Here is a 12,210-nt window from a genome sequence, read left to right as displayed (position 1 = left end):
GGTCCATTCTGCAGGTCTCAGTCATGGGCACCCGGAGAAGAGGAAGGACATTTCACTGTCAGCCCAGGTGAGTCCAGAAGCCAGCTCCTGGAACAATGCCAGGGTCCTGAACACTCAAGCTCAACCCCTGCTCTCAGCTACTGCTGGTGGCTTGAAATCAAGGGCTGGAACTGGATGAGAGGTGACAGCCCCTGGTCCCCATGGGCTCAGAGCAGGCCTCAGCAAACACTGTCCTCGGCCCCTGCACCCATGCTCTGCCTGAGCCTGAAGTGTTGGTTGCAAAAAAAAGCAGGAGGCAGTGCCAACTTCAGGCCTCAGCAAACACTGTCCTCAGCCCCCGCACCGATGCTGTGCCTGAGCCTGAAGTGTTGGTTGCAAAAAAAAGCAGAAGGCAGTGCCAACTTCAGGCCTCTGCTTCTCTCCTCTCCCTCAACACAGCCGGTCTTACCAGTACAGCAGGCGGCAGCTGAGAGTCCCCTCTGGTGGCCAGCAGCGGCTACAGAGCCGTCACTATGGGGAGGGACAGGACTTGAGGGGTTGCCTCGGTCCACCTCACTGGAGAATGGGCAGAGTTTATGGAGTCTGAACCACCTGGTCTCCAGGCCCCTCTGGGGATGGGCCTGGCTTACTGACCACTGACCTCAGCCTAGGAGGGACAGAAGAGACTGGGGGAGACCAGGATGCCCAGATGACCTTGACCCAGGGTACGCTGCCCCATGTCCCTGCTGCCTCCCGCCCACAGCTCTACGAGAGGCAGGTCTGTCATTCGCCGCTGGACTTTGACAGTGGTCAAAGGCTCTGCTCAGTTCTCTGTGCCTGTCTCCCTCCAGCACTGCCGAGGTTCTCTGCCGAGGCCAACCAGAAATACCCCTTGGAAGCTGGAATCCTGCAACAATGGCCCAGGGTGTCCTCTGGATCCTACTCGGATTGCTACTGTGGTCAGACCCAGGGACAGGTGAGTCAGGGGGCAGAGTCCTGGGACCAAACCTCTTGGCTCTGCAGAAGGCGTACTGCTGTCCCATCTATGTCTTGCCCTGCATGGAGTGAGGCTGGAGACTCAAGCTCTCAAAGAAGCTCCAGCATGGGGACATAGATATTCCCAGCTCCACAGAGTCAAGGCAAGGATAAGGGAAGGAATCTGGGGCCTGGAGAGCAAAAGTAGGGAAGGCTTCTTGGAGGAGGAGACATAAGAGCTAGGCTAGGAAGAAAGAGAAATGATTTGGGGGAGAAGCCAGAAAGGGCATTTTTTGCAGAGAAGAGCAAAGCTACACAGGTTAGGTGGTGGACTGGAGAAGAACCTAGATTCTAGACCAGGAGAGTGTGTCGAGTAAGACTTCCTGGATTCAAATTCTACTACTGGCCAGGCCTGTAATCCCAGCACTTTGGGAGATCAAGGCGGGCAGATCACTTGAGATCAGGAGATCGAGACCAGCCTGGCCAACATGGTGAAACCCCATCTCTACTAAAAATACCAAAAATTAGCCAGGCGTGGTGGCAGGCACCTGTAATCCCAGCTACCCAGGAGGCTGAGGCCAGAAAATTGCTTGAACTCAGGAGGTTGCAGTGAGCTGAGCACTACTGCACTCCAGCCTGGATGATAGAGCAAGACTCCGTCTCAAAAAAAAAAAAAAAAAACAAAGGCAAATCCTGCCTCTGCCACTTCCTTCCTGTGTGACCTTAGGCAGGTAACTTAACCTCTCTGTGCTTCAGATGCCTCATCTGTAAAGGGACACCATCTTAGTCCCTTTGTGCTTCTATATAGGCCAGGGTACCTGAAACTGAGTAAATTTGTAAAGAAGAGAAATTTACTTTCTTGCAGTTCTGCAGGCTAGGAAGTCCCAAATGCCAGTGCTTTGATCTTGGACTTCCCAGCCTCTAGAACTATGAGAAATAAATGTCTGTTCTTTTTTTTTGTTTTTTAGACAGAGTCTGACTCTGTCGCCCAGGCTGGAGTGCAGCAGCATGATCTCAGCTCACTGCAACCTCCACCTCCCGGGTTCAACAGATCCTCCTGCCTCAGCCCCCCAAGTAGCTGGGATTACAGGTGCCCGCCACCGCACCCGGCTAACTTTTGTATTTTTAGTAGAAACGGGGTTTCACCATGTTGGCCAGGCTGGTCTCAAACTCCTGACCTCAAGTGATCCGCCTGCCTCGGCCTCCCAAAGTGCTGGGATTACAGGCATGTGCCAGCACACCTGGCCAAATTTCTGTTTTTCATAAATTACCCAACCTCAGAGATCTGTTATAGCAGCACCAATGTACTAAGACAGGGGCTAAAAGGACCTACCTCACAAGAGTTGTGAAGACTAACTGCGTTAAATTATTAATATATAAGTCACCTAGACTAGTAGCTAGCACATAGTAAATGTTTACTGAAAGTTAGCTATTATTTGATAACCCATCTCTGAACCAGCTCTGAGCCTAACTTAGCATTTCTAGGTTTGCAGTTCAGCCACTGACATTTCCCCAACATGGCACAAGCCCATCCTGCTCTTCCCCCTGCCTCCCAGGCTATTTTATTTTATTTTATTTTATTTTAATTTAATTTTATTTTATTTATTTTATTTTATGATGGAGTCTCACTCTGTCACCCAGGCTGGAATGCAGTGGGGGGTTCTTGGCTCACTGCAACCTCCACCTCCTGGGTTCAAGCAGTTCTCCTGCCTCAGCCTCCTGAGTAGCTGGGGTTACAGGTGTGTGCCACCATGCCCAGCTAATTTTTGTATTTTTAGTAGTGACGGAGTCTCGCCATGTTGATCCGGCTGGTCCTGAGCTCCCGACCTCAGGTGATCCACCCGCCTCTGCCTCCTAAAGTGCTGGGATTACAGGCGTGAGCCACTGCGTCTGGCATTTTTTTTTTTTTTTTTTTTTTTGAGACAAAGTCTCACTCTGTCACCCAGGCTGGAGTGCAGTGGCGCAATCTCGGCTCACTGCAACCTCCACCTCCCATGTTCAAGTGATTCTCCCGTCTCAGCCTCCCAAGTAGCTGGGATTACAGGCACACACCACCATGCCTGGCTAATTTTTGTATTTTTATTAGAGATGGGGTTTCACGGTGTTGGCCAGGCTGGCCTTGAACTCCTGATCTCAGGTGATCCACTCACCTCGGCCTCCGAAAGTGCTGGGATTACAGGCCTAAGCCACCACAGCCAGTCCCAGGCATCTTTCAAAATACCTTTCCCTCTAACATCCCCAATTTTTAACTTCAATTCATCACAAAAGACCATCCATCTCTCCCTCTCACGATCTGGGGACTCTTCCACTTTTGTCCACTGCAATGTCACTACCTACCTTCTGCCACCTTCATCTCTCACCTCCACACTGTCTCCCCTTTTCTATCCTGGCACCCCAAAAATCCATTTCCTTATGGCAGCCAAACAAATCTAAGCCTAAGAAAGGAGTCTTAGAATGCCAGGTTCGTCACACCTCTGTCCTGCTCATAAATCTGCCATGGCTCCCCAGTACTCACAGACAGTCTGAGCTCCTTAACCAACAGGCAATAGTCTGTGTACCTCACTTTCCTCATCTACACAAGGATAGTGTTGGGGGTCATGGGGTTATCAGATGGAGGGCTGGGAGCATTGGGTAGATGTGGAATCAATACAAGGAGGCTCAGGAATGGGTGGGGCTGGGCTAACACATTCTTTCCTCCTGCAGCCTCCCTGCCCCTGCTCATGGACTCTGTCATCCAGGCCCTGGCTGAGCTGGAGCAGAAAGTGCCAGCTGCCAAGACCAGACACACAGCTTCTGCGTGGCTGATGTCAGCTCCAAACTCTGGCCCCCACAATCGCCTCTACCACTTCCTGCTGGGGGCATGGAGCCTCAATGCTACAGAGTTGGATCCCTGCCCACTAAGCCCAGAGCTGTTAGGCCTGACCAAGGAGGTGGCCCGACATGACGTACGAGAAGGGAAGGAATATGGGGTGGTGCTGGCACCTGATGGCTCGACCGTGGCTGTGGAGCCTCTGCTGGCGGGGCTGGAGGCAGGGCTGCAAGGGCGCAGGGTCATAAATTTGCCCTTGGACAGCATGGCTGCCCCTTGGGAGACTGGAGATACCTTTCCAGATGTTGTGGCCATTGCTCCAGATGTAAGAGCCACCTCCTCCCCAGGACTCAGGGATGGCTCTCCAGATGTCACCACTGCAGATATTGGAGCCAACACTCCAGATGCTACAAAAGGCTGTCCAGATGTCCAAGCTTCCTTGCCAGATGCCAAAGCCAAGTCCCCACCGACCATGGTGGACAGCCTCCTGGCAGTCACCCTGGCTGGAAACCTGGGCCTGACCTTCCTCCGAGGTTCCCAGACCCAGAGCCATCCAGACCTGGGAACTGAGGGCTGCTGGGACCAGCTCTCTGCCCCTCGGACCTTTACGCTTTTGGACCCCAAGGCATCTCTGTTAACCATGGCCTTCCTCAATGGCGCCCTGGATGGGGTCATCCTTGGAGACTACCTGAGCCGGACTCCTGAGCCCCGGCCATCCCTCAGCCACTTGCTGAGCCAGTACTATGGGGCTGGGGTGGCCAGAGACCCAGGGTTCCGCAGCAACTTCCGACGGCAGAACGGTGCTGCTCTGACTTCAGCCTCCATCCTGGCCCAGCAGGTGTGGGGAACCCTTGTCCTTCTACAGAGGCTGGAGCCAGTACACCTCCAGCTTCAGTGCATGAGCCAAGAACAGCTGGCCCAGGTGGCTGCCAATGCTACCAAGGAATTCACTGAGGCCTTCCTGGGTGAGGAAGTTCCCCACACCCTGTGATCCTTCCCATTACAGACACAGACGCCCCCACCCCGTATATTCAGGGAAGTTGAGGACTAGGAGAGTCCAGAGGGGGCAATAAGGGATCTGGTCGGGGGTGGGTGGGACAGCTGCACAGGTGAGGAAATGCCAGAGTTGGGCCTTGAAGGATGAATAGGAGTTCATCTCATTTTGTTTTGCTTCATTATATTTATTTGCATTAATTTATGGGGTACAAGTGTAACCTTGTTTCTCGCATAGATTGCATAGTGGTCAAGTCTGGGCTTTTAGGTACCCATCACTCCAATAACATACATCCACCCATTAAGCAATCTGTCATCATCCTCCCTCCTCTCTCTCCCTCACCCTTCTGAATCTCCACTATCTATCTTTCCACACGCTACATCCATGCATACACATTATTTAGCTCCCATTTATAAGTGAGAACTTACGGTATTTGTCTTTCTGTGTTTGACTTGTTTCACTTGAGATAATGGCCTCCAGTTCCATCCATGTTGCTGCAAAAGACATTCTTTCTTTTTTTTTTTTTTTGAGTCTCTCTCTGTCGCCCAGGCTGGAGTGCAGTGGCACGATCTCAGCTCACTGCAACCTCCGCCTCCTGGGTTCAAGCAATTCTCCTGTCTCAGCCTCCTGAGTAGCTGGGACTACAGGCATGTGCCACCATGTCTGGGTAATTTTTTGTATTTTTAGTAGAGACGGAGTTTCATCATTTTATCAGGGTGGTCTCGATCTCCTGACCTCGTGATCCACCCACCTTGGCCTCCCAAAGTGCTAGGATTACGGGCGTGAGCCACCATGCCCAGCCAACATTATGTCATTTTTTACAGCTGAGTAGTATTCCATTTCCTGCCGACCACTGTAGACAACCTCCTGGCAATCACCCTAGCTGGAAACCTGGGCCTGACCTTCGTCCAGGGCTCTCAGACCCAGAGCCATCCAGGCCTGTAATATATATCATATTTTCTTTATCCAATTCTCTTTTGATGGACAGTTAAGTTAATTTCTTACCTTTGCTATTGTGAATAGTGCCCTGATCAACATGTGAATGCAGGTATCTTTTTAATATAATGATTTATTTTCCTTTGGGTAGATATCCAGTAGTGGGATTGCTGGATTGAATGATAGTTCCAATTTATTATTATTTTTTTTGTTTTGTTTTGTTTTGTTTTGTTTTTAGACAGAGTTTCACTCTTGTCTCCCAGGCTGGAGTGCAATGGCACAATCTCGGCTCACTGCAACCTCCACTTCCTGGGTTCAAGCGTTTCTCCTGCCTCAGCCTCCTAAGTAGCTGGGATTACAGGTGCCTGCCACCATGCTCGGCTAATTTTTGTATTTTTAGTAGAGACAGAGTTTCACCATGTTGGCCCAGGCTGGTCTCAAACTCCTAACCTCAGGTGATCCACCCACCTCAGCCTCCCAAAGTGCTGGGGTTACAGTCGTGAGCCATCACCCGGCTTTTCTGTCTTTTTAATAATAGCTATTCTGATTAGAGTAAGATGATATCTCATTGTGGTTTTAATTTGCATTTCTCTGATGATTGGTGATGTTGAGCATGTTTTCCTTTGCCTATTGGCCATGTGTATATCTTCTTTTGAAAAATGTCTATTAATGTCTTTTGCCCGCTTTTTAGTGGGTTTCTTTCTTTCTTTCTTTTTCTTTCTTTCTTTCTTTTTCTTTCTTTCTTTCTTTCTTTTCTTTCTTGAATTGTTTGAGTTCCTTGTAAATTCTGGGTATTAGTCCCATACCAGTGCATAGTTTGCAAATATTTTCTCCCATTCTGAAGGTTGTCTGTTCGTTCTGTTGATTATATCTTTGGTGTGCAGAAGCTTTTTGGTTTAATTAAGTCCCATTTGTCTACTTTGTTTCTTTTGCTCTGTGCTTTTGAGGTCTTAGTCATGAATTCTTTGCCTAGCCCAATGTTCAGAAGCGTTTTCCTTAGGTTTTCTTCTGGTATTTTAGAGTTTCAGGTCTTACATGTAAGTCTTTAATCTATCTTGAGCAATTTTTTTTTTTTTTTTTTTTTTTTTTTTTTTTTTTTTTTGAGACAGAGTTTTTGCTCTGTTGCCCAGGCTGGAGTGCAAAGATGTGATCTCAGCTCACTGCAACCTCTGCCTCCTGGGTTCAAGCGATTCTCCTGCCTCAGCCTCCCACATAGCTGGGATTACAGGTACCTACCACCATGCCCGGCTAATTTTTGTATTTTTAGTAGAGACGGGGTTTCACCATGTTGGCCAGGCTGGTCTCAAACTCTTGATCTCAGGTGATCCACCCACCTCAGCCTCCAAAATTGCTGGGATTACAGGCGTGAGCTAGCGCATCTGTCCTTGAGTTAATTTTTGTATATGGTAAGAGTTAGGGGTCCAGTTTCATTCTTCTGCATATGGTTGGCCAGTTGTCCCAGCACCATTAGCACCATTTACTGAATAGGCAGTCCTTTTCCCATTGCTTATTTTTGTCGACTTAGTTGAAAATTATTGTTTGTAGGTGTGCAGCTTTACTTCTGGGTTCTCTATTTCATTCCATTGGTCTATGTGTCTATTTTTGTAACAGTACCATGCTGTTTTGGTTACTATAGTATTGTAGTATAATTTGAAGTCAGGTAATGTGATACCAGGCTCGTTTTGCTTAGAATTGCTTTTGCTATTTGGGCTCATTTTTGGTTCCTTGCGAATTTCAGGATAGTTTTGTCTAATTCTGTGAAAAATGACTTTGATATTTTGATAGAGATTGCATTGAATCTGTAGATTGCTTTGGGAAATCTGATTTCTCTTTTTCTAGAAAATGAGGTCTCACTATGTTGCCCAGGCTGGTCTTGAACTCCTGGGCTCAAGCAATCCACCCACCTCGCCTCCCAAAGTGTGGGATTGATTACAGGAGTGAGCCACCATGCCTGCCCCCACCTCCAATTTTTTTTTGGGGGGGACAGAGTCTTGCTCTGTCACCCAGGCTGGTGTGCAATAGCACAATCTCGGCTCACTGCAACCTCCACCTCCCAGGCTCAAGCAAGTTGTCTCATGCCTCAGCTTCCCAAGTAGCTGGGATTACAGGCATGTGCCACCATGCCTGGTTGATTTTTGTATTTTTAGTAGAGACCGGGTTTCACCATGTTGGCCAGGCTGGTCTCAAACTCCTGACCTCAAGTGATCCACCCACCTCGTCCTCCCAAACTGCTGGGACTACAGGTGAGACCCACTACGTCCGGCCCACCCCCAATTTTTTTTAATAAAAATAAAATAGATTTAGTTGAGTATAGTTAGTTGGTCCCCAGGGAGGACCAATGTGGGGTGAGACTGGACCCTTTCCAAATCTGAGAGGAGGCTGAGGGATGGTCTGTATGTGCGCTTTAATGCGGGTGGAGGAACAGGCAGAGAAACAGTTCCTGACCCCAGCCTTCAACCCCCTTGCCTGTAGGATGCCCGGCCATCCACCCCCGCTGCCGCTGGGGAGCGGCGCCTTATCGGGGCCGCCCGAAGCTGCTGCAGCTGCCGCTGGGATTCTTGTACGTGCATCACACCTACGTGCCTGCACCACCCTGCACGGACTTCACGCGCTGCGCAGCCAACATGCGCTCCATGCAGCGCTACCACCAGGACACGCAAGGCTGGGGAGACATCGGCTACAGGTAGGAGGGGCCCGACCGGGGAGGGGGCGGGGCCCACGTTCGGGGATGGGGTCTGAGTGGGCGGAGCCTGATGCAGGGGACCGGGCTTGAACCCGAGGAAAGCTGGCAAGACCAAGGAGGAGTCCTGATAGGTAGAGCAAAGTTGGAGAGGTGGCGTGGCTTAGGCTAGGGGCGGGGCCTTAATAGGGACCGGGAATAGCTAAATCATGGGACTCCAGTCAGGGTAGAGAACTAGTACAGGAGGCGGGATCTGGGAGAGGAGCGGGACCTGTGGCAGAGTCTGGGTCTGGGGCCAGGCAGAGATGGCCTAAAACAGACAAGGAGGCCTGGTGCGGTGGCTCCCGCCTGTAATCTCACCACTTTGGGAGGCTGAGAAGAGAGGATCGCTGGAGCCCAGGAGTTCGAGACCAGCCTGAGCAATATAGGAAGACACCCCCCCACACCACCCATCTCTACAAACAAAAAAAACTTAAAAAGGCCAGGCGCAGTGGCTCACGCCTGTAATCCCAGCACTTTGGGAGGCCGAGGCGGGAGGATCACGAGGTCAGAAGATTGAGACCATCCTGGCTAACACGGTGAAACCCCGTCTCTACTAAAAAATACAAAAAAATTAGCCAGGCGTGATGGCGGGTGCCTGTAGTCCCAGCTACTTGGGAGGCTGAGGCAGGAGAATGGCGTGAACCCGGAAGGCGGAGCCTGCAGTGAGCCGAGATCGCGCCATTGCACTCCAGCCTGGGCGACAGAGCGAGACTCCGTCTCAAAAAAAAAAAAAAAAAAAAAAAAAAAGCTGGGCATGGTGTTGCGCGCCTGTAGTCCCAGCTACTCGGCAGGCTAAGGTGGGAGGATCGCTGGAGCCCAGGAGTTCGAGGCTTGAGTGAGTTATGATCGCATCTCTGCACTCTAGCCTGAGTGACAGAGCGAGAACCCGTCTCGAAAAGAAGAAGGAGGCCGGGAGCGGTGGCTAACGCCTGTAATCCCAGCACTTTGGGAGGCTGAGGCGGGTGGATCACCTGAGGTCGGGAGTTCCAGACCAGCCTGGCCAACATGGAGAAACCCCGTCTCTACTAAAAATACAAAATTAGCCGGGCGTGGTGGTGCATGCCTGTAATCCCAGCTAGTCGGGAGGCTGAGACGGGAGAATCACTTGAACCTGGGAAGCGGAGGTTGCAGTGAGCCGAGATCGCGTCGTTGCACTCCAGCCTGGGCTACAAGAGCGAAACTCCGTCTCCAAAAGGGAAGGGAAGGGAAGGGAAGAAGGGAGGGGTGGCGAGGGGAGGGGAGAAGGCTGGGCACAGTGGCTCACGCCTGTAATCCCAGCACTTTGGGAGGCCGAGGAGGGCAGATAACCTGAGGTCAGGAGTTCGAGACCAGCCTGGCCAACATGGCGAAACACCGTCTCTACTAAAAATAAAAATTAAAAAAAAAATTAGATGGGCGTGGTGGCGGGTGCCTGTAATCCCAGCTACTCCGGAGGCTGAGGCAGGAGAATCGCTTGAACCCGGGAGGTGGAGGTGGCAGTGAGCCGAGATCGCGCCCTTGCACTTCAGCCTCAGCGACAAGAGTGAAACTCCATCAAAAAAAGAAAGAAAGAAAGAAGGAAGGAAGGAAGGAAGGAAGGAAGGAAGGAAGGAAGGAAGGAAGGAAGGAAAGAAAAAAAACCCAAAAACAGAAAAGCTCTCTGAATTGGGCAAGAACTGGGCTTGAGAAAAGGCAGAGGTGGGGAGGAGAAGGGCAGAAAGGGGCGTGCCAGTACTGAAGGGCGGATCCAGAGAAACCGAACGGTCCTGGAGTGGCAGCTGGTGTGAGAGTGGAACAGAGCTGGATGGGACACAGGCAGCGCGACCGCGCGGGTCTTGGGGTCGGTGGCCCTTGGCACACCAACAGAATCGGGGAGGGGAGCGGATAAGGGCCCGGGTCCCCCTCACGCCGCATGGTGCTTGCTTCTCCCTCCCCTCTGCAGTTTCGTGGTGGGCTCGGACGGCTACGTGTACGAGGGACGCGGCTGGCACTGGGTGGGCGCCCACACGCTCGGCCACAACTCCCGGGGCTTCGGCGTGGCCATAGTGGGCAACTACACCGCGGCGCTGCCCACCGAGGCCGCTCTGCGCACGGTGCGCGACACGCTCCCGAGTTGTGCGGTGCGCGCCGGCCTCCTGCGGCCAGACTACGCGCTGCTGGGCCACCGCCAGCTGGTGCGCACCGACTGCCCCGGCGACGCGCTCTTCGACCTGCTGCGCACCTGGCCGCACTTCACCGCGGTGAGTCTTCGCAGCCTGCACTACACGGCCCGCCGCCCCTCCGTCTACACAAGCTCCACGAGGCCCCTGCCCCCTGCCTGTAACAGCTGTGCCCGCACAGCCTCAGCCAGGCCCCCAACTTCCCGGCGGCACGTCTATTCAGGAAACCTAGGCCCAGCCTTTGCGGGTCACTCTGCGGGCAACATCCCTGATCCTGTGACTTCTGCCTATGCAGCCTCAGCTCAGCCCCAGACCCAGCCAGCCTGTCCTTTCCCCAGCTCCTAATACCTCTACCTTTCCAGCCAAGGCATGGACCCTGACACCTGCCAACAGCCCCTCTGCCCTCACAACCTCAGCCTGGCCTTCATGACTTCTCTACCCAAGTCACAACCTGTCAGGCTGCACCACCTCATCCTGGCCCGCCGAACCTTGACCTCACCCCTGCCCCTACCCGAAGGCCCTCTGTCCACACAACATGAACCTAGGCTGTGACCTTTTGCCTTCACAACCTCTGTCCAGTCCTTAATCCTGTGTTGCAATTCTCTGTCCAGACAATCTCAACTCTGAGGTTGCTTGTTTCGTCCCTGACTCCTTAACCCCTGATGACAACTCTTATGCCAGCACAACTTTGACCTGATGACCTCATCCCAGCCCTTGATCGCCATCACTAAAACAATTTTAGAATCACACCTGGACAATCTCGTGCTACCTACATACTGCCACTCCATTTCATTAAGCTATTGACTAGCACATCCATCTCGGCCTATAGTTGGCTTTGTCCTCACTCTCTCACTTTGGGCCACTGTCCCCTCCCTGATCCAGGGTTCCACCACCAGGAGGGCAGACCCAGCCACATACCACAACCACCCCCAAGCCTCACACTCCCTTGTCTTTTTCCAGACTGTTAAGCCAAGACCTGCCAGGAGTGTCTCTAAGAGATCCAGGAGGGAGCCACCCCCAAGGACCCTGCCAGCCACAGACCTCCAATAAAGACAGCATGGAAACAAAGTCTCTGTTCATGCATCATCATGCATTGTCTTAGTTTGGGTCTTCCCAAAAGCAGACCTTAAGACAATAATTCCAGTACAAGTAGTTTATTGAGAGGAGATCCCAGGGCAGGGCACGGCAGCTCACATCTGTAATCCCAGCACTTTGGGAGGCTGAGGCGAGGGGATCACCTGAGCTCAGGAGTTCGAAAACAACCTGGGCAATAGAGTGAAATCTCATCTCTGCAAAAAAAAATTTTCAAATTATCCAGGCATAGCCAGGCACGGTGGCTCATGCCTGTAATCCCAGCATTTTGGGATGCTGAGGAGGGTGGATCGCCTGAGCTCAGGAGTTCAAGACCAGCCTGGCCAACATGACAAAACCCCGTCTCTAACAAAAATACAAAAAATTAGCCAGGAGTGGTGCCACACACTTGAGGTAGGAGGATCACTTGGGCCTAGGAGGCAGAGGTTGCCGTGAGCTGAAATCACACCACTGCACTCCAGCCTGGGAGACAGAGCAAGACCCTGTCTCAAAAAAAGAAAAAATTATCCAGGTACAATGTTGTGTGCCTGCAGTCCCAGCTACTCCGGAGGCTGAGGTGGGAGGA

At 51.9% G+C, this 12,210-nt stretch overlaps 1 protein-coding gene across 2 annotated transcripts, besides 2 other annotated features; it reads left to right on the top strand.

Annotated features, from left to right (window-relative positions):
* The first annotated feature begins 764 nt into the window (after positions 1-764).
* Positions 765-11,621, top strand: PGLYRP2 (peptidoglycan recognition protein 2). Of its 2 annotated transcripts, NM_052890.4 has the most exons (5): positions 765-955; positions 3,658-4,728; positions 8,166-8,376; positions 10,337-10,634; positions 11,514-11,621. In NM_052890.4, exons 1-5 carry the CDS (start codon positions 895-897, stop codon positions 11,601-11,603), a joined length of 1,731 nt encoding a protein of 576 aa, NP_443122.3. In that variant the 5' UTR covers positions 765-894; the 3' UTR covers positions 11,604-11,621. The 2 variants fall into 2 exon arrangements, with proteins under 2 accessions (NP_443122.3, NP_001350475.1); NM_001363546.1 differs by having other exon boundaries at positions 10,337-11,621.
* Positions 10,231-10,280: an enhancer, noted in NCBI's record as "active region_14190". NCBI's record gives its function as "activates an Ori minimal core promoter by ATAC-STARR-seq in GM12878 lymphoblastoid cells {active_cell/tissue: GM12878}" and the evidence as "EXISTENCE:reporter gene assay evidence [ECO:0000049][PMID:35858748]".
* Positions 10,291-10,380: an enhancer, noted in NCBI's record as "active region_14189". NCBI's record gives its function as "activates an Ori minimal core promoter by ATAC-STARR-seq in GM12878 lymphoblastoid cells {active_cell/tissue: GM12878}" and the evidence as "EXISTENCE:reporter gene assay evidence [ECO:0000049][PMID:35858748]".

Source organism: Homo sapiens, chromosome 19 (genome assembly GCF_000001405.40).
Source record: "Homo sapiens chromosome 19, GRCh38.p14 Primary Assembly".
In the NCBI taxonomy this organism is placed as follows: domain Eukaryota; kingdom Metazoa; phylum Chordata; class Mammalia; order Primates; family Hominidae; genus Homo; species Homo sapiens.
The sequence above is the reverse complement of the archived record's forward strand: the minus strand, read 5'-3'. Positions and strand labels throughout refer to the sequence as shown.